At 39.0% G+C, this 25,768-nt stretch overlaps 1 protein-coding gene across 6 annotated transcripts in view; it reads right to left on the bottom strand.

Moving 5' to 3' along the window:
* DOCK11 (dedicator of cytokinesis 11) overlaps positions 1 to 25,768 on the bottom strand; it is a 190,333-nt gene that overhangs the window by 56,162 nt on the left and 108,403 nt on the right. For 4 of the 6 annotated variants that reach the window (XM_005262368.5, XM_011531276.4, XM_005262369.6 and 1 more), the window contains 12 exons: positions 24,630 to 24,748; positions 21,845 to 21,914; positions 21,630 to 21,755; positions 20,637 to 20,708; positions 19,568 to 19,714; positions 15,211 to 15,294; positions 14,275 to 14,386; positions 13,746 to 13,784; positions 11,258 to 11,436; positions 5,331 to 5,447; positions 2,407 to 2,482; positions 1,714 to 1,823 (listed from right to left, as the gene is read on the bottom strand). In XM_005262368.5, coding sequence (XP_005262425.1) covers positions 1,714 to 1,823; positions 2,407 to 2,482; positions 5,331 to 5,447; positions 11,258 to 11,436; positions 13,746 to 13,784; positions 14,275 to 14,386; positions 15,211 to 15,294; positions 19,568 to 19,714; positions 20,637 to 20,708; positions 21,630 to 21,755; positions 21,845 to 21,914; positions 24,630 to 24,748 — 1,251 coding nt within the window. The remainder of the gene's footprint in view (positions 1 to 1,713; positions 1,824 to 2,406; positions 2,483 to 5,330; positions 5,448 to 11,257; positions 11,437 to 13,745; positions 13,785 to 14,274; positions 14,387 to 15,210; positions 15,295 to 19,567; positions 19,715 to 20,636; positions 20,709 to 21,629; positions 21,756 to 21,844; positions 21,915 to 24,629; positions 24,749 to 25,768) is intronic. The other 2 variants (NM_144658.4, XM_047441841.1) reach the window with 1 other exon arrangement.

Below are 25,768 nucleotides of genomic sequence, written 5' to 3'. Positions count from 1 at the left end.
ACATTAGAAAATCTATCTTAAGGGCTAATAAAACCAGGCGCAGTAGCCCACACCTGTAGACCCAGCGTTTTGGGACGCTCAGGTGGGAGGATCACTTGAGGCCAGGAGTTTAATACCAGCCTGGGCAATATAGCAAAACCTGTCTCTACAAAAAAAAAAAAAAAAAAAATTTAGCTGGGTGTGATGGTGCATGCCTGTAGTCCTAGCTACTCAGGAGGCTGAGGCAGGAAGACTGCTTGAGCCCAGGAGTTCAAGGCTGCAGTGAGCACTGATCGTGTCACTGCACTCCAGCCTGGGTGACAGAGCAAGACCCTATTTCTAAAAACTATAAATAAATTAAAAAATGGGCTAATTATATTACGATAATTACACTTAGGAGTACCCAATAATACTTCAAAATTAGTACCTCTACAAAGTACTGATGTGTTCCTATTATTTAATGACTTTTTAAAAAATATCAGAAATTAAGCATGACAAGATCTGACTTATTTGGGGATTTATATGAATAGAATAACAATAATCTAAAAAATTTAAAAACTAATACTTTCAGTTGAGCTAAACTGGGGATGCACCATTGACTAGGGTGGAATTTACTAAGGAAGAACTTTTACTTGGAGCAAACAGACCTAGGTTCTGATTGCTTGCCTAGCTACTATGTGACTACTAGCAAGTCATTCAACCTCTCTGACCTTTATTTGCCTTAGCTATGACAGTACCTGTTGTCACAATTTCTAAATGGTGTAAAAGAGAAACATTTGTGAATAAATTACTGTTTACCCAAAGGCTCAAGGAACCAGTGGAAGTATAGTCCACTGGTTCTCAAGGGTAACAATACCCAACCAGCAGCATCAACATCACCTGGGAACTTAGAAATACATGTTAGCAGGCCCTATTCCAGACTTACTGAATCTCACCCTGGGGTGAGGCCCAGACATCTATTTTTTAAGCCCTCCAGGTGATGCTGATGTACACTAAGAGCACCATGATATAGGAGACAAAGTGCTCATATTAGAAAATCTGGGTTCGAGTATGGTCCTGCCATAGCTGGTTGTTCTAAGTCATAATCCCAATTTTCATTTGTAAATTGAGAGTTGGAATTTATTGTTCTTATAGTCCCTTCTAATATAATTTTATACGATTCAATGATTTTACATAACAACATGGCAAAACTTTACTCGTCTAAAATGAGGTCTTTCTGCCTTAAGGCAGTCACATCTCAAACTTTAATGGTAGGCGTGAAACGACTTGATAGAAGAGTTGGGAGGATATATTCTGATTAAGTGATGCTGGGACCCTAAGATTGTCAATTTTGGGACCTATATTTTTTCCTCCCAAATTAATATCATTACTCTATTACAAAAGAATGAAAGACTGCATTAATCCTGCCAGGATGTGCTTCGTTTTAAATAACAAGGCACATTAGATATTTTAAACTTGAATTTCTCCTCACTAAAATAGCGTGCTAGGGTTAAAGGAGATATTCAGAGTTAGAACTCTTGAGGATGAATGCCTTATTCTCTATAAATAGTTTAAGACATTGAAGTAGCAGCTGCCACTATAGGAAGATACTGCTAAAATATCTAAGAATTATGGGATGCTTTTCGCAGAGCCAGGATGGACTACAGGTGAGTACAGATGCTCATATTTATACTATAAAAAAATTGTTGCAGGCTAATGTGTCACTAGGGTCATCCTATATATTTAAGTTCTTACATTTTCACCAGTGTTGCCCTGATCTGGAAATCCTGTTGCTCCTTCTGGGATGAGGGAACCTCTTGAATCTTCTCTCTTAATTCCATGTCCATTTTGAAAAGACCCATAAGCTGGGGAAAAAAAAAAGTCAAGCCCTTGTTGGCAAGAGGGGGAACTGTCAGAAATATTTAAAAAGTACGGAACTAATTTAAGTAGAGACATTAATGTAGGGAATAGATCTTGGACATCTAAAATGTGAAGTTTATTATATCAAAACACCATAAGAAACCATGTAAAAGTGAAGCAACTTTTCACCTTTCAAAACACTTTAGCATGTACAAAATGACAAGAAATTCCTTGGAAGCCGTAAAATAAAGCCACACAATTTAAAAGACAATTTTATAGACAAGGAAACTTGAGCCCATAGATGGGAGTATCTGGCTTAAAACTGGTGACAGATAAGAAGAGTGGAAACCAGTATTTTTCTCATTATCCTCTATTTTCTCAGTATGCCAAGCTATGTTCTAAATAAGCTTAGACAAGGAAACCTAGGCAAATAAATTTGACTGCAAGTATAAGTCAGATTTTAATTAAACTTTAGTAGAGATCAAGCTATGTATGGTCTTTATTATGAAATATATCAAAAATACTGAGAAGTAGAGGGTACATGTCTAAACACCCACGCAATGTATCATCTCCAAAAGGTTTAATTACCGGTGTCTTTGTCAGTGCTCAGACTCCCTCTATTGGCAGGTGAAGTAAAGCCACATGGAAACTCATCTCTGGATGCCTGTAACAGAATATGATACCTGTGTCATTTAAACAAATTCGTATATAGGATAAGAAATCTGAATTAACAGAATAAAATGTTACATTGATTTTAAACAAAGCTCACTGTGAAAGTCTAAATCAGATACTAGTAATTAGTATTTAGGTGACTCTTTTTTAAAAAAAAAAAGCTACTAGCATACTGTTGTAACCATGACCTCTAGCCAAGTGACATAATTCTAGATAGCTGCAACTGGTACAGCTGCAACTGGTACAGTCTTTTTTGTTTTCGTTTTCTGAGACAGGGTCTTGCTGTGTAGTCCAGGCTAGAGTGCGGTGGCATGATCATAGCTCACTGTAGCCTCAACCTCCTGGGCTCAAGTGACCCTCTCACTTCAGCCTCCAGATTAGCCAGGACTACAGGTATACACCACCACACCCAGCTAATTTTTCATTTTTTTAGAGATGGGGTTTTCCCATGTTGCCTAGGTTGGTCTCAAACTCCTGGACTCAAGTGATCCTCCTGCCTTGGCCTCCCCAAGTGCTGGGATTACAGGCATGTGCCACGGCGCCCAGCCTGGTAAAGTCTTAACATGATTCAGTTCTCCTCCTTAGAACCAGGGCAATGCTAGAAGAAGGTGTGTGACCAGAAGCCCTAGGGAAACTTGAGCTGCAAAGAATACAGAGAAGTGAAATATTTCCAAATAATGCTGTCAAATCTATGTGGAGGGAGCATAAGCATGAGATACTGTATTTGTAAAGTGAGACCAGCCTGACACTCAGGTAGGTGTAGTATCCACATTCAGCCAGTTGACATGACTGGGAGTCACAGGGAAGCAAGCCACTAGAAAAGCTTAAAAGCAACGTCCTCAGGAACACAGGACAGGCATGACAAATTGGCTGTAGCATTTCATAGGGGGAATTTGCAGAGGAAGCTGTAAATGACACAGTTTAACCTGCTACCCAACAATATTACGTGGCCAGCCAAAGTGCAAAGGTGATCTTGGGCCATACAGAACATGGATGGGGGCAGAAGTTAACAGTCCACTGGGCAGACTATAAAGTGTATAATTTGGACATTGTATTTTAATAGGGTTACTGGTAAACTGAAGCATATTTGGAAAAGGGGTGACCACGAAAGCAAAGGGTTTTGGGGACCGGGCACAGTGGCTCATGCCTATAATTCCAGCACTTTGGGAGGCTGAGGCAGGCAGATCACTTGAGGTCAGGATTTCAAGACCAGCTTGGCCAACATGGTGAAACCCCCCGTCTCTACTAAAAGTACAAAAAAAATTAGCCGGGCGTGGTGGCGCATGCCTGTAGTCCCAGCTACTCAGGAGGCTGAGGCAGGAGAATCACTTGAACCCAGGAGGCAGAGATTGCAGTGAGCTGAGATCATGCCACTGCACTTTAGCCTGGGTGACAGACTTAGACTCTGTCTCAAAAAAAAAAAAAAAAAAGTAAAGGATTTGGAATGACAGATTAGTGGAGATATTTGGTGGCTTGGAGAAAAATTTAGAAGGCACAAGTGGAAAGGGTACATTTGGAGGTGGGAACAGATGTGTTTCATGTGTCTCTAGAAGACAAAAGTAAGACCAGTGGATAGAAAACCTTTTAGGTCTAATGTGAGAAGGAATGTTTAAATTATTACAATGGCAAAAGGTTGTTTTGCCAAATAGGAGACTGATCACCTCCAAAGTTCCTTCTAATTCTTAAAATTCTAAGGGGAGCAAAAAAAGCACAGACCAATTGTGATAAACTAAAAGAGTCTCACCAAGAAGTGCTGAAGGAGACTACTAAGGGAAAGGAGAAGCAAAGGAATACAGTTTAGTCCCCAGTGCCTAATATCTTGGAAGTAGAGAATCTTTTGTTCAGTTTAAGTTGAATAAATGTATGAAGCCATACAACAACAGAAAATGTTAAGAACGAAAACACAGCGTTCAAAGGATTTGTGGTGTTCTCTTGGAATTTGTTTTCCAAAGTGCAATCTTTGGACCAGAAGCAGCCAAAAGCTTGTTAGAAATGCATGCTCTCAAGTCCCACCCCAGGTCTATTGAATTAAAATCTGTTGGCTAGGTGTGGTGCCTCACGCCTGTAATCCTAGCACTTTGGGGGCCGTGGTGGGTAGATCACCTGAGGTCAGATGTTCCAGACCAGCCTGGCTAACATGGTGAAACACCGTCTCTACTAAATATACAAAAAAATTAGCCAGGCATGGTGGCGGGCACCTGTAGTCCCAGCTATTCAGGAGGCTGAGGCAGGAGAATCCCTTGAACCCAGGAGGCGGAGGTTGCAGTGAGCCGAGATCACGCCACTGCACTCCAGCCTGGGCGACAGAGCGAGACTCTGTCTCAAAAAAAAAAAAACCTGTTTTAACAAATTCCCCAGGTGATTCATATGCAGATTAAAGTTTGCAAAGCACTGTATTAGGAAAAACAGTGTACATGGAGTAAAAACTGAACTCTTGGCTGGGCACGGTGGCTCATGCCTGTAATCCCAGCACTTCACGGGGCTGAGAGGGGAGGATTCCTTGAGCTCAGGAGTTTGAGATCAGCCTGGGCTGCACAGTGAGACCCTGTCTCTGCTAAAAATGAAAAACATTAGCTGGGCATGGTGGCGTATGCCTGTAGTCCCAGCCACTCGGGAGGCCAAAGCAGGAGGATCACTTGAGCACAGGAGTTTGAGACTACAGTGAACTATGATTGTGCCACTACACTCCAGCCTGGGTGATAGAGCGAGACTCTGGCTCAAAAAAAAAAAAAAAAAAAAAAGTGAACTCTTAAGGTTGAGATCATATAGCATATGACCCCAATTCCAAATGCATTCAATAAAATAGGATAAAACTCCAACAGAAACACATTACTACTTACAGAATTAGGCATGGCTGCACAAGAATACAAGGTATCTCGACCTGCTAATCGCTGTATATTTTCCAAAAGTAGTCCAACAAAGGGGAGGTACAATTGTGCTATTTTGGCTTGTTGGTTCTGAAAAATAATTATTGAAAGCTTAATACGTATATAATATGTATATATTACAAATAAATGGAGTTGGCTTCATATATCAATTTAAAGACTAAAAAGTAGGCTAACATCCATAACAAATTACTGAAGCATGAATCTCTTTATACTTATAGTCTGAAAACTAATTACCACAGAACTTTGTTGGCCTTTGGATTTATCCATGATACAGACTCAAATTACATCCCTCAAACATAATGACATGAAGTAAAAGGTTTTTGTAAAAAATAGAAGTTGGCCTATAAAGCAGATGATATTATTCCTGTTTTTCAGCTCCAGTGAGCGTTGAGCTTCATGAGAGCAGGGACAGTGTCTGTCTTGTTCACTGCTTCATCCCCAATGCCTGGGCACATAGCAGATGGTCAATACATATTAGCTGAAGGAATGAATGAGTAAGTGGAAGAAGTGAAAAAATGGTAAGTTACTGTATTCATTCAGGAAACATTTTTTGCTTCCATTAAAGCTACAATTACAATAATATGAACTTGGTCCCCTAAGTCAATTTTAAGACTTGGGAGATTGATATATTTGTAAATATGTAAATAAAACTGGCCACCAGGGCTCTTAATTAATGTGGTACCTCTTATACAAATTTATTTCTTTCCTCAGCTTATAGACATTCCTCGCCAGATATGTATATACACTCAAATCAGAGAAAATAGTGGCTGTGGTAGCACAAGCATTGCCCTCTATCTTTCATGACTTTAGGAGGTTTTTCTGGAGAATTAGATAAGGCCCTCTAGGGCAAAATGGTCAATATGTAGAATGTAGAAGATTACTGGTCTCTTACTATTGTTTTAGTTTGCATTTACTATTGAGGTTGAACAATTTGTCACGTGTTAATTGGCCATTTGCACTTCATTTGTGAATTTCAAAAACCCTTCCCTTCTTAACAGACTTTCTTCCAACATAGTACCCCGTCAGTAATAGTCTCTACCACCAGAAGATTCTGATTTACCAGGTCTGGACTGGTCCAGATGATGCTGATGTGCATAAATGTTTCAGAACCACTAACCTAGTCCAACTTCCTGCTGAAGGCAGGAATGAATGGCCCTTACATGTATCCTTGACAAATAGTTTTTTAAACTTCTTTAAAACTCAAGCCGTTTCATGGGTTCTATTAGGAAGGTCCTTTATCTGAAATACACTCCTCCTAAGTTCTACCTCCTAGGTATAGCTCTGCCCTTTGGAGCTACAAAGAATAAGTCTATTTCTACTTTTGCATGGCAACCCTTTAAATATGTGAATACAGTTACCATGAATCATCTTAACTCATTCTTTTTTTTTTGAGACTGAGTCTTACTCTGTCACCCAGGTTGGAGTGCAGAGGCACAATCTCAGCTCACTGCAATCTCTGCCTCCTGGGTTCGAGAGATTCTCCTGCCTCAGTCTCCCAAGTAGCTGGGATTATAGGTATCCACCACCACGCCTGGCTAATTTTTGTCCCTTTTTAGTAGAAACAGCGTTTTACTATGTTGGCCAGGCTGGTCTCGAACTCCCAACCTTAGGTGATCCACCCTCCTCAGCCTCTCAAAGTGCTGGGATTACAGGCGTGAGCCACCGCTCCCGGCCTTTTAACTCTCATTACTTTCCTTTGTTCCATGACTTTGGTGTCAAGATTTTTCACTTAGTGATTACCCTTTTTCTGGTGGTTCTCTAATTTTTCAATGTCCCAAGTTGAGATTTAAAAGGCAGTATAGCTAGTGGCTGACAGCACAGATTTTGCAGTTAGAGACATGCGCAAAACCCAGCTCTCCCATTACTAGCTACTTGATTACAATCAAGTCACTTAACTACAGTTTTCTCTTTGGTAAAATGGGGGTAATAATAATGATATCAATTAATGTGAGGTATTTAAAATAGTGTTCGGCATATAGTGAGTCCTCAATAAATTTTAGCTGCTATTATTAATATTATGGCTTCTAAATAGGAGTCCATTTTAGTTCTGATAATGAGTGATCTCTAGGGGAAGAGAAATTACAATTCTCTCAGGGAAGCAGGAACACAGGAAAACATACAGTCATTGCCAAATATGTTAAAAATTTTGCCTGCACAACAGAGAATATAACCTAAGTATCTATTAATAGAAGACTAGTTAGATAAATAAAATAAAGTATATCCATATGATAGAATACTATGCAGCTACTTTTTAAAATGCGGTAGATCTAACCTTCAGGCTGTATTGTTAAGTGAAAAAAGAAAAATGTATAATGGTTTCTGTTATATTTTATACATATATGTCATATAGGCTTGTGCTTATATAAAATAGAAGTATAAATAAACTCACAAGAGTAGTTGCTTCTGGAAAGATGAATTGGTAAGTGGAGGTAAGGAATGGGAGACAGGCATTTTGATTTTTGTTTTTCACCATGCACGTGGATTACTTTTTCAAAAAAGGAAAAAGGATTTGCCCACAGCCGAACTAGAAGTAGAATCTGCAGTTCTCTTAGGTATGAACATTACTTGTAGTGGGTACAAGAACTATACAGGCCCCAGGGTAAATGTTAGATATTGAACATTCTTGTTCTGAAAAGGAAAAATGTCTCATGGTAATTATAACAAGAGACATTGCTGGCTGGGCACGGTGTCTCGCACTTGTAATCCCAGCACTTTGGGAGGCCAAGGCAGGCAGATCACGAGGTCAGGAGATCAAGACCATCCTGGCCATCATGGTGAAATCCCATCTCTGCTAAAAATACAAAAAATTAGCCAGGCATAGCAGTGCGTGCCTGTAATCCCAGCTACTCGGGAGGCTGAGGCAGGAGAACTGCTTGAACCCGGGAGGCGGAGGCTGCAGCGAGCTGAGATTGTGCCACTGTACTCCAGTCTGGGCTACACAGCGAGACTCCGTCACAAAAAAAAAAGAGAGAGATATTGCTAAATAGTTTATGAGTAACACATAACAGGGACCAGCAATATCTCCAGAATTTCCTAAGAGCAGGGGCTTAGGAGTGGCAATTGGCTGGAAAGGGTGGGGATGATTAGGGAGTTGAGTCTCAAAGCAGGCTTTTCATAGGAAACATTCTTTTCTTTTTTTGGTTTATTACTTTGGGGTCCCTTTAGAGAACTGATGGAAAATATGAGGGCTTAAGGCTCCCTCCAATCCCTCACCTTGGTGTCATCATTAATAGGAAACATGCTCTACTTGGATGTATTTGATAAATGAACTCTTACACAGGCTGCCTGGAAACTGCACAAAACAGACAAAGGACCTTTTATATCCTCATCCAATACTCTAGAATTGAAACTTTGGTTAACCAAGCCCACGAAGTAAACAAACTTCTTATGGAGAAAACTCTATCGTCATTTAATGCCTGTATGAAGCCTCTGAACAAAGAGGAAAGAGCTTCAGAAGTCATTGAAAGAGTAATAAGGCTTGGCATTTCAATCTTTCCTGTAGTTTAAAACCTCAAACACTCAAAGAGTGTCTAACTTATTTACAGGTAACAATACCTGCGTGTGTACACACACTGCTCTAAGAATTTAAAAAGTAAGTTAAAAGTGTCCAAATTTGTGATATAAAATATTTAATTCTGCCTCTAGGTGGTGAGAATCCCACTGGCAAAATCCAATTTTCTTTCTCTTTCATGTGAAAAGGCAGTGGAGAAATATACAACTTTTTGCTTCAGAGAGGGGAAGTTCATTTTGTACTTTTCCAGTGAATCATTTAAAATCATGGCTAAAGACATTTTCCTCCACGTGGCATAAGATCCTTTTCCCCACTTACAGGCATAAGCAAGTAGTTAGCCAGAACCCAGCGATAATGCATTTTTAAAGGCTTGACCAAGCTTGATTGGACTGGAGGACTTTTAAGATATCTTTTTATTTGGATATATTATACCAGTTAATTTGTGTGAAGTCAATATCAACATTCACAAAAAGTGAAAATGGCACATAACTGAGCCAACTACACTAAGTGGAGGTATGTTATAATGTGTCAAAAACAAAGCAAACTGCAGTAAGCAATAAATTACATCTTAAAGCAAAGGAGTTAAATCTACTTTAGGATACAATCACATGAAGAAAACTAGCAAGATTTACATGTATGAAAATCACTGTAATTAAAGGAATGTGAGCAGATGTCACTGGCAGGCATTTTCTGTTTAAAAAGGACAAATGGGAATACCGTAGAAAAAGAATAAAAGCTCCAAGTCAGCCTTCCAAAATGACCGATGATAAATGACATCATAATTTTATTTATATTGGAATGTAAAAAGAAAAGGATAAATTATTTATTATGAAACAATATTATGTTTCCTAGAGTGATTTATGATACCGTGGAAGTAAATTAGAGTCTTCTAAATCCATACAGTTTGCACTCTACTTTTTCAAGCCAACAGGATTTAATGTCAGTAAGATTTCAATATATATGTTAAAAGTACAGTAAATAGGCCGGGCATGGTGGCTCACGCCTGTAATCCCAGCACTTTGGGAGACTGAGGGGGGCGGATCATGAGGTCAGGAAATGAGGACCATCCTGGCCAATATAGTGAAACCCCATCTCTACTAAAAATACAAAAATTAGCTGGGCATGACGGTGTGTGCCTGTAGTCCCAGCTACTTGGGAGGCTGAGGCAGGAGAATTGCTTGAACCAGGGAGGCAGAGGTTGCAGTGAGCCGAGATCGCACCACTGCACTCCAGCCTGGGTGGCAGAGCGAGACTCCATCTCAAAAAAAAAAAAAGAAAGAAAACAAAATTAGTGCAGTAAATAGAAACTGTAGCTGTGACCGTTACTCATAGACAACAGTGTAACGTATGTAAAATTTATAGCCACACCCACAGCTATTTATAGTAACACCATCACATTAACATTTTTTTCAGTAAGAAGAAAAACTTATTACATATTTTACATATGATATATATTTAAAGATATATTAAAGCATATGTTTCACAGAATAAATTTTTTAAAAATTCTTAATCATGAAGCAGTTATGTTATTCTTTAAGTATGAGTTGAGAAAACAGTGTATTTCTTTAACAGTTAACTAAACTATATATATATATATATTTTTTTTTTTTTTTTTTGAGACAGAGTTTCACTCTGTCGCCCAGGCTGGAGTGCAGTGGCATGATCTCAGCTCACTGCAGCCTCCACCTCCTGCCTCCCCAGTTCAAGTGATTCTCCTGCCTCAGCCTCCCGAGTAACTAAGACTACAGGTGTGTGCCACCACGCCCGGCTAATTTTTGTATTTTTAGTAGAGATGAGGTTTCACCATGTTGCCCAGGCTGGTCTCAAACTCCTGGCCTCAAGCGATCCACCCACCTCAGCCTCCCAAAGTGCTGGGATTACAGGTGTGAGCCACTGCTCCCGGTCCCAAATGGTATTTTTAAAAACCTAATGTTTTGAGGCCAGGTACAGTGGCTCATGCCTGTAATTCCAGCAGTTTGGGAGACCACAGTGGGTGGATCACTTGAGGCCAGGAGTTCGAGACCAGTCTGGACAATATGGTGAAACCCCATCTCTACTAAAAAATACAAAAATTAGCCAGGCGTGGTGGCACTCGCCTGTAGTCCCAGCAACTCGGGAGGCTGAGGCACAAGAATCGCTTGAACCTGGGAGGCAGAGGTTGCAGTGAGCCGAGATCATGCCACTGCACTCCAGCCTGGGTGGCAGAGTGAAACTCTGTCTCAAAAAAAAAACAACTTATGATTTGAAGCAAAAATAAATTTTCCTCAATGCTTATATAATGCTCCTTGCTACAAAAACTTCATCTTCTATAAAAAATCATAGTAGAACTCTACCAGTGTGATACTGATGACTGCATGGATATCCTTACCTTGTGCTGGTATCTTGTGTCAAATGCATGTTTTATCAAAAGATTCTTTATAACAGAGATAGCTGTATATCTGATCTCATAATTGTCCTGAAGAGCAATGGAAGTTTCCCTCAGAAGTAGACCAACCAAGAAGTGATGCTTGCAATACTCATCTGATAAACTGTATTCAAGATTTGAATCTGCAGTACAATGAAATTTAAAACCCATTTATGAAAATATTCAAAACATGATTATAATTAAAATACTGTATTATTTAATAATATGTGATCATGCTAGCAAGAGCTATAATTTTTATTATTAATGATTCTGAGCAATTCTTTTATCATCTAGAATAAGCATGCAAAATTTACAAGACAGGAGCACTCATATTTTGGGCTAAACGATAGCTTTAATGATCATTTCAGTCAGAAAGAAAGTCCCTAATTCTTTTTTTTCCCCTAGATTCTTTTAAACTCATAGAAATCTTAGGATAGAAACTACAATAAAATAATTATATATTTTGCAACGTTTTAACAGATTTCTTTATAGCTGAAGAGATTTTGTCACAACTATAAATTTGAAAAATTCTATGTAATAATACTTGATTTACTTATCCATTTATACTTATAAAGTGGGAAAAGACAAACTAAACAACTGAATAGTCTGACAGTATTGACTGTTTTAGTAAATATTATATATTGGGCTGAAAATATACATGGGACATAAGAACAATAAGGAAAACAGTCTCATTTCATTCCAATCCATCATCACTCAAAAACAAATATTTTATATCAGAAAATAATCACTTCGAACTAAGTCTTTCCCTTCCTTTAAGATCCTCAGTCTATTTTATTTATTTATTTATTTGAGATGGAGTCTCACTCTGTTGCCCAGGCTGGAGCTCAGTGGCACAATCTCAGCTCACTGCAACCTCTGCCTCCAGGGTTCAAGCAGTTCTCCTGCCTCAGCCTCTGAAGTAGCTATGACTATAGACGTGCACCACCATGCCCAACTAATTCTTTTTGTATTTTTAGTAGGGACGGGGTTTCACCATGTTGGCCAGGATGGTCTCGAACTCCCGAGCTCAGGTGATCTGCCTGCCTTGGCCTCCCGAAGTGCTGGGATTAAGGCATAAGCCACTGTGCCCAGGCTAGATCCTCAGTCTATTTTAAATCCCAGATGTTAATATCATGGTTGGGACTTGCTTTATAAGTACTTATAGGGGATTGTGATCAGGTTTAGTAATTTTTTTTTTTTTGAGACAGAGTCTCGCTCTGTCACCCAGGCTGGAGTGCAGTGGCGCAATCTCGGCTCACTGCAACCTCTGCCTCCCGGGTTCAAGCAATTCTGCTGCCTCAGCCTCCTGAGTAGTTGGGATTACAGGCATGTGCCACCATGCCCGGCTAATTTTTTTGTATTTTTAGTAGAGACGGGATTTCACCATATTGGCCACGCTGGTCTCTAACTCCTGACCTTGGAATCCACCCGCCTCGGCCTCCCAAAGTGCTGGGATTACAGACGTTAGCCATCGCGCCCAGCCAAGTTTAGTAATTTCTGTGGTAGATTTCTACTATCTTTATTTCCTCTCCCGTGCTATTTAATTAGATAGGCCATGAAGCCGAAGGATTATGTTTTCTATTTTTCTTTTGGCCTGTTCAGCACTTAATACAATGCTTTATATTCAGTTGGGACTTAATAAATGCTGCGAGTAGTCCAATTTAATCCTAAATCCTGATTATCTGTCCACCTCTTCTTTTTCCTGACTTCCTCATAGTTATAAATAAATATTGGGTGAATTATGTGAGCTATACATGTTCAGAATCGAATAAGGGGGTAGCTGAATAGGAGTGCTATGGTTTAAAAATATTTTTTTCTCCATTTTCACTGGCTATAATTCCATCACTAAAACCACCACTCAGCAGATACTTCTATACAGACCAAGGCAGATTATTTTCTTCCTGCATTGGTCTTGCTCTTTTGTGAATCCCTATCACCTTCTATGCACAAGGGCCAGGACTGACTAACAAAGGTGGCTTTATCTGAGTAGATTTTACAAATGGTAATCAATTTGTTATTTTGGTGATTTGAATAAATCCAATCAGGTGGTTTCATCTACACCTGCAAAATTGTGGCCAAGGTGTCACTAAACAGCATCTGAGAGAGGCAAGCCTGAGAGAGGAGACACACACAAAAAAAAAACAAAAACAAAAACAAAAAAAAAACAAGTAACTTCCAGTTCCCCATCCATGGCCTCTATGCTGGCTTGCAGCAGGAACTTGTGTTTTGAGGGAAAATGTTTTAAAGTTGATTTCTCTAGCAACACTCAGTTTTATTTTAAAACTAAACAAACACACTGCCTCCTAGATTTTCTGGGTACTTTAACTAAAGCCTCATTTTGGCTAGGGAGAATTTGAAAAGCAAACAAAGCCCCCATCCATCTTAGCAATTCATCAAATCAATTGTTTTCTAAAACAGCAAGCTAATTTAGAGTGAACCGAGTTAAACCTACCTACTGAAGTCAAACGGTCCACCGCAAATGAAAAAAAATCTAATTAATATATGAAAAGAAAAGGGACAAATAAAAAACATAGTAACATAAGAATAGTGCTATACAACAAAGCATTCAATAAAACTAGCAATGGAGATAACTGAAGGCATTTCATAAATTTAGCACAAACATGTTACCATTTTACTCTACCTTTACATTTTTTGATGCTTTGAGGAGAAATGCATTTATATGTCTTTTTCTTAATTTAGTCTCATACAAGATCCCAAACACTACTACAGAAAGTAATTTCACTAGTATCTGACATCTGTGTTTAAGCAGCAATCTATTAACACACCTGATTTCTTCACACTATGAACATTATTACTGATATTATGAAGGAAATGCAGAAAAACATTAATGGACTTCAGATAGTAACAATTCTGAAATTACCTTCAAGTTGACTGGTTCAACTAGAAAACATTATACTACACTAGCGCTAGCAAAACATGGAAAAAAACAAACTCAAATGATGGAAAATGCAAATACATGCCTTGAACCCGCTGCAGTTTAGGTTTTGCAAATGCCATTGGCAAGTTCAGAGGAATGTAATGTTCGTGATTGCAAATTGTTTGCAGAAATTCAAACTTGTATTCAGCCAGAACCTAAATGGAAAGAAATGATACATTAGCTCATATTTAGTAGGCATTTGCTATTTTAAGAATTTAATACAGCGCATTATTTTTCACAACGGAAGTGCTTAGTATTCTAAGCATACCTTGAGATGCGACCTGTGCAGGAAAGAGTTAACATAGCAGGTCCAAGACTGCTATCCTTTAAAAGGCCTGCTTGTTGGCTGGCATCTAAAAAATGAAATTTTGAAATGTTCCCTACATGTTAAGTTGCACCTTCTGTGTCAGCCTGCTTAGACTATTTGTACAAACATTGTGATTTATAGTGAACACCTGCTTTGCTTTCCTTTCTGAGAGTCTGGAATTTTGACCAGCCTCCAACACATAATCAGCCCCCAATAAAAACTCTCAACTCTGAGTTTTAAACAGGCTTCCTTGAACAGAAATATTGCACACTTACAAGTGCATTTTCACTGCTAGAAGGAGGCTGTGCTCTGTGAGACCCTTCACAGGAGGGAAAGAGCTCAAAAAGGCTGCATGTGGATTGCTACCCACCCCATTTGATGTCTTTTCCTTTCCCGATTCAGCTGAGTATCCTCATTATGTCACGCTCATGAATCTCAGCCATCAATACAACTATATGTTGAGTCTGTGAATCCTTAAAATGAGCTATTGAACACATGGGGGGTCCTGGGGACCCCAAAACACAGTCCAGTATTCCTTGCTTTTACGTATGTCTATAGTCCAACTACCTAAATAAAAACAACAGTTCCTAATCCCCTAGAAGAGAATAAATGTCACTTTGGTCTTATGCTCAGATGTCTGACATCCACTACAATCATGTCCTTATAACTTACCTTAGGATCTTTGGGGCTGAATCCAGATATATAGTCATTTATTAAATTGAAAATAAATCCTCTATCCATTAGTGTCAAACAGCGCTATAGAAACCAAAACAAAACTAAGGGTTAATTACATAATTCTAAAAGTCTAAATTTTAAAAATGTAAAGTTTTAAAAATTCAAAATTGGTTCCACACAAAAAGAAAGACATTTTTATTTTTATAGATAACTTTCTGAGCTTCAGGTGACCTTAAAGAAAAAGATAAAGGGCAAGTGGCATCACTGGAATTGGGACTGAAGGGCCTCAATTATACAGTTTTCAGAACAAGATGTATATATAGCCACACACACAAATATACATTTATCTATACATACACACACATACATACACAGACACACATACATATCTGTAATCTATTCAGCTACACTTCCTCATTTTGGTCAACTCTCAAAGCCCAAGCGAGTTGACCTCATTTTGGTCAACTCCCACTTCCAAAGGGAAGTGTAAGGTAGTCTGTTAGCTGATGAAAGTGAGGCTTGCCTATGTAAATATTAATAATTCAGACCAAAAGAGTTTTTGTGTTCAGTGAAGTCAAAGCATAAAACCTCCCTTCTCTGTGACAGCCCCAAGTTATTTATATTTGCCCACTGTCATTGTCCTAGTTAAGGCTCTCACTACCTTGCAACTGAAAAACTGCAGTTAACCTCCTCAGTCTTCATGTCTCTCATGTCTCTATCCATCTGCTTCCAGATTAACCTCTAAGTCCTAGCCCAATGGTGTCATTTTCCTGCCCCAAAGCTTCCAATAGTTCCCTATTGTCTCTAATACAATTTCAAATTCCTTAGCTTGCCATTCAAGAACACTCATAGTCTTTTCCCAACTTACTTGTCCAGCTTCATTTGCCAATAGATCTCATTGACTTTCTTTGACTCTGTCTCAAAACAGAAAAAAAGAGAGAGAGAGAGAGACAGGCAGAGTCTTGCTCTGTCACTCAGGCTGGAGTGTGGTAGCACAGTCATAGCGCACTACAGCCTTAAACAATCCTCCTGCCTGTCTCCCAAGTAGCTGAGACTAAGGCGGGCACCAGCATGCTCAGCCATCATTCACTTATTATCCCCTCGAGATGCACTGTGTATTCCCACCTCTAAGTCTTTGGCTTATGCCACACCTAGCAATTCTTTCGCTACTTCTATCTGGTCTTATTCATTCTTTAAGGTTCTCATGAAATCCCATCTTCCTTAACTACATTGGTCCATGGATCCTTTTAAACACTTTATTTCAGTATTAGCTTGTATTTTACTGACTGTTTTCCTGTCGTCTCACCTAGATTGGACAATAAGAATGATCTTTTCCTTTATATCCTTCATAGTGCCTAGAATATTTCTGTGAAATCCGAAGAATTCAATATTTGATTAACCAGCTACCTGCATCTTGCATCTCATACTCTCCTTTATACTTCTGCTGCCACTGCCCAGGGTAAGACCCTCATCACCTCTCATCTGGATTACTGAGTGAGGCTCATATTTATTTATTCCAGCATCCAACAAACATTTAGAGGATCTACTATGTTTGAGACAATGTACTACATTCTAGAGAAATACAAAGTGGAATAAGGCATGGTCCATAATCATGTCTAATAGTGAAGACAAACAAATAATGAAAAGATAGTGCACAATAACAGTGCCACAGAGCTATGTAAAAGACAGGTGAACAACAGAAGGGGTGATCAACACTGCATGGAAAGGCCAGGGAAGAGCTGAGCCTAAAAGATAAGTGGATTGTGCCACGCGGATGATTGGTTTTCTAATCGGTTGCCCTGACTCGAGTCTCTTCCTCACTTCATCTATCATACCAGCAAGAAAAGTATCCTCCCAAGTATTTGGTGTTACTCCATTGCATATGAATCAAAGTCCAAATTCCTTAACCTGACATTCAAGGCCTTTCATTATTGGCACCAGATGGCCTTTCCAGCTCTTTCTCCATACATCCTAAACTCATCACACGACTTTTCACTCGTCCCTGAACAATTTTTGAACATGCATATTTCATCTTTGTTCAGGGACCCTCTAACTGCAACATGCTCAACTCTTGTCTTGGGGAACTCTGCACTATGTTACTTGTTTCATGCTGCCTGGTCATAATCTCTCTCTCCCTTTCTAGTTTTTCTATAGTATTTTGTCTGTATTTCTGGTATTACTGTTATCACCTTTATCTTGTATATATATTCAAATTTGACTACTAACACGGCCTCTCACATCTTTGAATTGCCACACAGAAGTCAAGCCAATGTTTGCTGACTTGAATTAAGTAAATACTGCTACTAAACCAAAAATGTTCTATTCCCTTTACATAGTAAACTTCAACTTTAAACTCCATGGAAGAAGCTAATATTCTACATTTCAGATAATCTAATTCGTAGTTTATTTTAAAAAGATATGTGGATGTTGGCTTTTTTAATACACAAAAAAGGCTAGTGTAATAGGGTTAAAACTTTATTTTAATTCTGGCAAAGAGAAGTCTTATGTCAGAAAATCATACTCAAGATGTGTGAAACCTAGTTGTGAATTTTTAATTAACAATGAGGATATGTTAGAAACTAAAACTCCTTGGATGAATTGCTGCCCACAAGGTTCTTAATATGAAGAGTTTTGAGAGTAATGAAGAGCTTTGAGAAATGAAGAGAGGGAGAATGGAAAGAGGCAAGTAAAAACTAGGTGCATTTGCAACCCACGCTTGTCTCTGCCACACATCAAATATTGTTGTTACCCACTTTATCACAGTTACATTCAGGCCAAGAGGGGCAGATCACTTGAAGTCAGGAGTTCAAGACCAGCCAGGCCAACATGGCAAACCCCTGTCTCTACTAAAAATACTGGGCATGGTGATGCATGCCTGTAATCCCAGCTACTTGGGAGGCTGAGACATGAGAATCAGTTGAACCCAAGAGGCGGAGGTTGCAGTGAGCTGAGATCGCACCAGTGCACTCCAGCCTGGGTGACAGAGCGAGACTCTGTCTCAAATTAAAAAAAAATGAAAGAAAGCAAGAAAAAAGAAAGAAAAAACAGTTACATTCTCTCACTGCCACTTACATACTGACAATAACAAAACCTAATGATGGTAGTTTGCCATCTTTCATAAATATAGTTTTCTTCTGGTATATCCCAAATAAAATAACCTCACTGATCAACACTAACAATTTACATTTACACGTATTAGCAACATGTACACTGTGGTTACATCACCAAACAGGTTGCTTTAGTCCAAAAGTTGCAAAGTCAAAAGCCAACGGGGTCAGAGAAACGATTTAAATGAATGAGGAGGCTCAGGGCTGTAATAAGGAGTGGTAGGGATGGTGGCAACCTAGAAAGTATGTGCTCCCATTTAAATAAGCATTCAAACTATGCTTAAAAACACTGTGTACAACAAGCAACACTTGTCTTCTGACTAGGCCACCTGTATGTGTCCTCTGATTTAATTATTTGTCATTTCATTGGGGGATGGGGACAAATTTGTTGTGATCAGGTAAGCTAAAATATACAGCTTTTATCCAAAAGAGGCAATAACAAGTGTTGGTGAGGATGTGGAGAAAAGGGAACCTTCCTTCCCTATTGGTGAGAATGTAAATTAGTACAATCACTATCAAGAACAGATTTGTTTGTATTTCTGGTATTATTGTTATCACCTTTATCTTGTATATATAGTTAAATTTGACTACTAAGGTAGCTTCTCACATCTTTTCTTGTTTTGTTTTGAGATGGAGTCTTACTCTATTGCCCAGGCTGGAGTGCAGTGGTGTGATTTCGGCTCACTGAAACCTCCACCTCCCAGGTTCAAGGGATTCTCCTGCCTCAGCCTCCCAAGTAGCTGGGATTACAGGTGCCTGCCACCACACCCAGCTGATTTTTGTATTTTTGGTAGAGACGGGGTTTCACCATGTTGGCCAGGTTGGTCTCGAACTCCTGACCTCATGTGATCCGCCCACCTCGGCCTCCCAAAGTGCTGGGATTACAGGTGTGAGCTACTGTGCCTGGCCAGCCTCTCACATTTTTGAATCGCCATATAGAACACAAGCCAATGCCAATGTCTTCTATGGAGGTTTCTCAAATAACTGAAAATAGAGCTACCATACGATCCAACATTCTACTCTTAGATGTATACCCAAAAGGAAGAAAATCAGTGCATCAAAGAGATATCTACACTCCCATGTTTGTTGCAGCACTGTTCACAATAGCCAACGTTTGTAAGCAACCTAAGTTTTCCAACAGTCTTATGAAGACCTAGCTGAGCCTCTAGAAAGTGCTTAATTTTTTTCTTGGGCTTCCTATCAATGAAGAGGAGTTCCTTACCACATTCTAGCTGCCTTGAACTCACCTTCAGGAAGCTAGCCAAACTATAGTTCACATTTCTGGACTCATCGGGAATCTCCGCATACCGAATAGTCACATGGGGAATTATTGCAAGAAGCAGTGAATGTAAGACATGATGATATGTCTCGGGAAATCTCTGGCCTCGGGGAAGCTGAAATGAAATAGGCACAGAAAAAAGTCAGACTTCCAAAAGGTCTAAATCAATTGCCATTTTTACTTTCAAACACATTCTACAAATAAATATATCTTAAAACTGATGTATAATTGTTCTCCCAACTTAAAAATGACATCACTAGTTCAAGATGTACTTCACTCTATATAATTACAGGAACTATCTGGATCTCTAATAATCTACCTGACTGAGGTTATCAGCAAGAATGGGTTGTTCTGCCCCAACTTTGGAATATCATGCTTCTGAGTTACAGACACAACGCAGTTTTCATTCTACTTTTTTCCTGGCACACAAAGTATGCATGCACTTCAATTTCAGTAAACATATTCTGTGAAAATTCTGATAAAAAATAATTAAGTATAAGGTAAATATTTTGTACTTCACAAGTCTTAGCTTTATGATTCCTATGAATAAGAAAATATTTTTATACCTTTCAAACAATTAAAAATTACAACAAAATGTATACATCACATTCCGGGATCATATCTAGTGCATAAAGTGTTTGTAACACTCCACGTGCATGGGCAAGCGCTATGTCTGATTTAACCAAATGGGTCTTCTCGAGAGACATTTTTAAGCCATAAGACAAAGGCAAAGCTTCAAAGGTAATGAGATGTACATGGCAAATGATTATAGGAAAGAATCTATGTGGAAAAGTCTCTGCAGATTAGACGGTGAGAACATATCAACTGCGAGACCTCAGATTTATGCAATAGATCCATTGTTTTGTAAGCAACATTGAAAAAGCCAAGCACTAGCAGCCTTTAAATATAAAATGGGATTTGCATGGCATGGCTATCTGAGAGTAAGATTAGCTTTTTTTGTCTCCATCAAATATTATTCTTATATATACAATTATCATTTGCCAATTGAAAGTTATTCTTTACCTTAATTTACTTACCTTAATCTTATTCTCTTCCAACAAGTATGTGGCCATTGACTTTGCAATTATTTCAAAGAAAAACCATGAGTACTGAAAAAAAAAGAAAGAGAATCTTTAACGGTTACCAAATCTCTGAAGCTTAGCAAAGTTTGACAGATCAATATGGGTCTTGTCTTTGAATTTTACTAACATTTTCAAGTGATCCCAAGTCACTATCAAAGTCACAGAATATCTGCAAATGGTTTTAGCAAAAAGGTACTATTGTACTTCAGGGTTGACTGGTAATATATAAAGGAAGGATGGGAACCTTTGTCCCACTGGGGAGTATTTTATCCCCAAAATTGTTTCTAATTGCCCTCAAGTGGTAATAAGAGCAAACTAACTTCTAGTTTATCTTGTTACCGCTTTTAAATGCTCTATAGACAATGAATCTTATTACCACCTGCACTTAGCTTGGACCCCAACCCTGCTCTTGATGTGACATTCGTGCAGCCTAAGTAGCCTAGATGTTTGCCTACCTCATGTAATTTGAAGAGTAGAGAGAAGCCCCAATCAGATATACTCCAAGATACTCGAAATTCTACCATTAATAAAAGAAGTAATAAAAATAATGACAATAATAAGAGCTATCATTTCTTGAGTGCCTACAATGTGCCAGGAACGATGTGTTAAATGCTTTACTTGTATTTTAGAAATGAGGACTTGGAGGCTCAGAAATGTTAAATACCTGGCCCCAGGTCACAAAACTATTTTGTGATGGATACAGGATTCTAACTCAGGTCTATCTGATCCAAAATTCTTTCTTTTACACATTTAAATGAGGGCAGGGGGTGGGTAGTTGGGGTGAAGAAGGTTCTGTGGAGAACTTCAGGAAAAGGATGCATGGGCAAAATGGTGGAGAAAGGACGGGTCACATGTGAAACTGATGAAAGACTAGAAGTGAAACGGGAGGGTATCAAAAAAAGTGTGTCTATGGCTGCTTTTGTTCCTTGTTGTGTCCTGTGTTCATACCTTTAGCAATTTGTTTATTGATAAAAAATCTGCAGACTGTTTCAATATTGCTATCATCGTAGTAGCCAGGGTTTCATGTATCAGCTGGGCCTGAGGAGCACTCGGTTTTTCAGGTCGGAAGCTATACTACAAATAAACAAACAAAAAAAAATGAACTGTAAGACAAAATTGTCACATAAAACAAATTGCTCAGAAAGAAACTTTACTCCACAAACCTTTATGAATGATCTTAGATAACTATCCAAGCCTTCTTCATGGCACTTTGATACAATATGTAAGAGAACCCTGAAACGACATTCACAAGAGTCAGCATGTCATGCTATAATGAATTAACATATTTTGATTCTTAAGATCGTCATGTCTAGCCCCCAAAACATCTAACACTGCCTGAATAATTAAAAGTGAGATGATTGCATTAGATATAATGGTGATAGTTTAGGCATAACAAAGATTTCAGCATCTAACATGCTTGGGCCTTATGAAATATATTTCCTAGTTCAAAAGAAGGATATTTAATTTGACAACCCAGATGTCACATCTGTTTCTAAATCTCTGTATGTGTCTGAAGCATGGTGGTAGCTACTATCCAGTAAAAGACTTCAAATTAGGTAAATATTGAGATCTCCTCTAGTGAGAATAAAAGGAAGAGAATAGAAAGATAAAATGAAGGCTGAATCCCAGCACTTTGGGAGGCCAAGGCGGGTGGATCACGAGGGCACAAGATTGAGACCACAGTGAAACCCCGTCTCTACCAAAAAATACAAAAAATTAGCCAGGCGCGGTGGCGGGGGCCTGTAGTCCCAGCTACTCGGGAGGCTGAGGCAGGAGAATGGCGTGAACCCAGGAGGCGGAGCTTGCAGTGAGCCAAGATCACGCCACTGCACTCCAGCCTGGGCAACAGAGCGAGACTCTGTCTCAAAAAAAAAAAAAAAAAAAAATGAAGGCCCGGCACGGTGGCTCATGCTTGTAATCCCAGCACTTTGGGTGGCCAAGGCAGGTGGATCATGAGGTCAGGAGTTCGAGACCAGCCTTTCCAACACAGTGAAACCCTGTCTCTACTAAAAATACAAAAATTAGCTGGGTGTGGTGGTGGGCGCCTGTAATCCCAGCTACTCGGGAGGCTGAGGCAGGAGAATTGCTTGAACCCCAGGAGGCAGAGGTTGCAGTGAGCCAAGATTGCACCACTGCACTCCAGCCTGGGCAACAGAGCTAGACTCCACCTAAAAAAAAAAAAAAAAAAAAAAGAAGGAAAGGAAAAGAAAAGGGAAAGGGAAAAGGAAAGGAAAGGAAAAGGAAAAGGAAAGGAAAGGGAAAGGAAAGGAGAAGGAAAGGAAAGGAATAAAGACGCAATGAAAAGCATGTCAACGGGGAAAAGGAAGGGAGAGCCGGGGCAGGTGTAATGATATGAACTATAATTGGGGGTAAGAGACTAGCAGTGTCCTCAAAGTTTAGCATATATCAGAAGCACCTGGTGGGCCCTTTTAATAGATTGCTCAGCCCCTCTCCCGGAATTTCTGATTTTGTAGGTCTGGAGTGAAGCTCAATGATTAACAATTTTACTAAGTTCCCAGGCGATATTGATGCTACTGGTATGGGAACCATGTTTTGGAAACCACTGGCCTAAAGTTTCTTCCATTTTCAACAACACTATCCCCAACAGCAGCGATGCCCGCAAATGGTGTGTGGCTGTGGTGTGAGGCCTGCTGGAAGAGGTTGTGGCAACAGCAGAGGCAGCAAAGCCAAAGCCAGAAACTTCCAGCACTCAGCCCACAATTTAAGTACCCTGTTTTGATTTCAAAATTCAGGTGCATTTTGCATTCTACTCTACAATATATCCTTGTTTGTTTTCACATAAAAATAATACTTCCTTATTCTTTCAAGTAAAAATTGATGGCTTGGGGCCACATTCTGTTAAATATGCATCCCTAGTCACCTGTGTCTATTTAAATTGATTAAAATTAAAATTACACACAATTAAAAATTCAGTTCCTGCAGGAAGCGGTGGCTCACGCCTGTAATCCCAGCACTGGGAGGCCGAGGCGGATGGATCGCCTGAGATCAGGAGTTTGAGACCAGCCCGACCAACATGGTGAAACCCCATCTCTACTAAAAATACAAAATTAACCGGGCATGGTGGTGGGCGCCTGTAATCCCAGCTACTCGGGAAGCTGAGGCAGAAGAATCGCTTGAACCCGGGAGGCGAAGTGAGACATTGCACTCCAGCAGGGGCAACAAGAGCGAAACTCTGTCTCAAAAAAAAAAAAAAAAAAAAAAATTCTGTTCCTCAGCTGAACCAGCCCCAGTTGAAGTCTCAATAGCCACATGTGGCTGGTGGCTGCTATATTGAACAACACAAGTGCAGAACATTTACATAATTGGAAAAAGTTCAATTGGAACTTATATATTTATCTTCTTAAATACATAAAGCAAATATTAACGAACATGAAAGGAGAAATATATTGCAATAGAAAAATAGAGGACTTCAATACCCCACTTTCAACAATGGACAGATCAACCAGACAGAAAAGTAATAAGGAAACATTGGACTTGAACTACACTTAGACCAAATAGACCTAACAGACATATACAGAACATTCCATCCAACAGCAACAGAATATCCATTCTTTTCATGAGCACATAGAATAGTCTCCAGAATAGACCATATATGTTAGGCCACACAACAAGCCCTAAGAATTATAAGAAGACTGAAATCATATCAAGTGTTGTTTCCAACCACAATGGAATGAAACTAGAAATCAATCACAGGAGAAACCGTGGAAAATTCAAAATAGGTGGAAATTAAACATGTTCCTGAGTCAAAAAAGAAAAGGGAAAATTTAAAATATCTTGAGACAAATGACAATGAAAACACAACATACCAAAACCTATGGAATGCAACAGCAGTTCTAAGAGGGAAGTTTATAGTAATGAATACCTCCATTAAAAAATAAGAAAGATCTCAAATAAATAGCATCTTTGTATTATAACACCAAAACTCACATGGTGCAGTTGATAGGAACGTCATCTTCATGGGTCATATTTGTGAGAACTCGGAAGAGTTGCATAAGAATTACAGGTAGAAACTGTATCATGACTTGGATCTCCATGGCATGCAAACACTAAAATTAAGTCATTATTAGTTATGAAAACAAACAGAAATATGATAAAATTTGCAAATGTGAAACAGCAAAAAAATTAAGTAGTGAGAAATACATTGACTAGCATATAAGCTCAATTAAAAGTGAGCTTTCCATTGGATAGGGGGCTTTTTTGTTAATTACTTAATCCACACCTCTATTTGGCACTCAGATTTTGTTATTTAACATTAAACACTTTACTAAAGCTAATAAGTATAATTTGGATAAACAGTTTTTAGAAAATTGACAACTGACTCCTGGTAAACCAACACTCAATTGCCTGGGGCAGTGGGGAGGAACAGATGTTTGGAGATGATACTGGAGATGCATCTACTAACCCCCAGGCATTCTGTATGTTCTGCAGGGGAATGTGGGCATCAGTTAATCTGGTGACAAGTTAAGTGGAATGCAATAAAGAGTGGTTCTATATGTAATTGGCTCTACACCATCACCACTACAAAACGGAAGCACTTTTGCAGTCTAAGAATCTCACAATACATTTCCTTCAAAGTGCTAACACTGTGTCTCCAATGATAAGTGCGTTACAAACATCAAAAAGAAGAAACGTGATCATATATACAGAGAAATAATACAAACAGTGAAAGTTGTTCAATTTCTTTCTTCTTTCTTCCCTTCTCTCCACATCATTCACTCACTCAACCAGCTAACCAAAAAAAAAAAAAAAAAAAAAAAAAAAAGGAAACAAACCTCGCTGAGCATCTTTCTATATCAATTCAATGTGTAGTGCTAGGGGAAATAGAGAGGTGGATAAATCAAGTCTCTGTACTTAAAAAACTCATAAATTCTCTTTCCCAGATTCCCTGACTTTTGCCACTATCTGTCTTCAAGACCCTCTAATCAATAACCAAAATAGTATAAATCATTTTCTTTTTAGCAGGTCTCTGTACAATTTCTCTTTACTCTCCATACATCCAACTCTCATTTCTAAATTAATCTTCCTCAAATACTCGTTACATTAGACCACCTCCTGCCAAGATTTTT

This window comes from Homo sapiens, chromosome X, assembly GCF_000001405.40.
Source record: "Homo sapiens chromosome X, GRCh38.p14 Primary Assembly".
NCBI lineage: Eukaryota > Metazoa > Chordata > Mammalia > Primates > Hominidae > Homo > Homo sapiens.
Note: the sequence above shows the minus strand (reverse complement) of the source record. Positions and strands in the feature narration are given on the sequence as shown.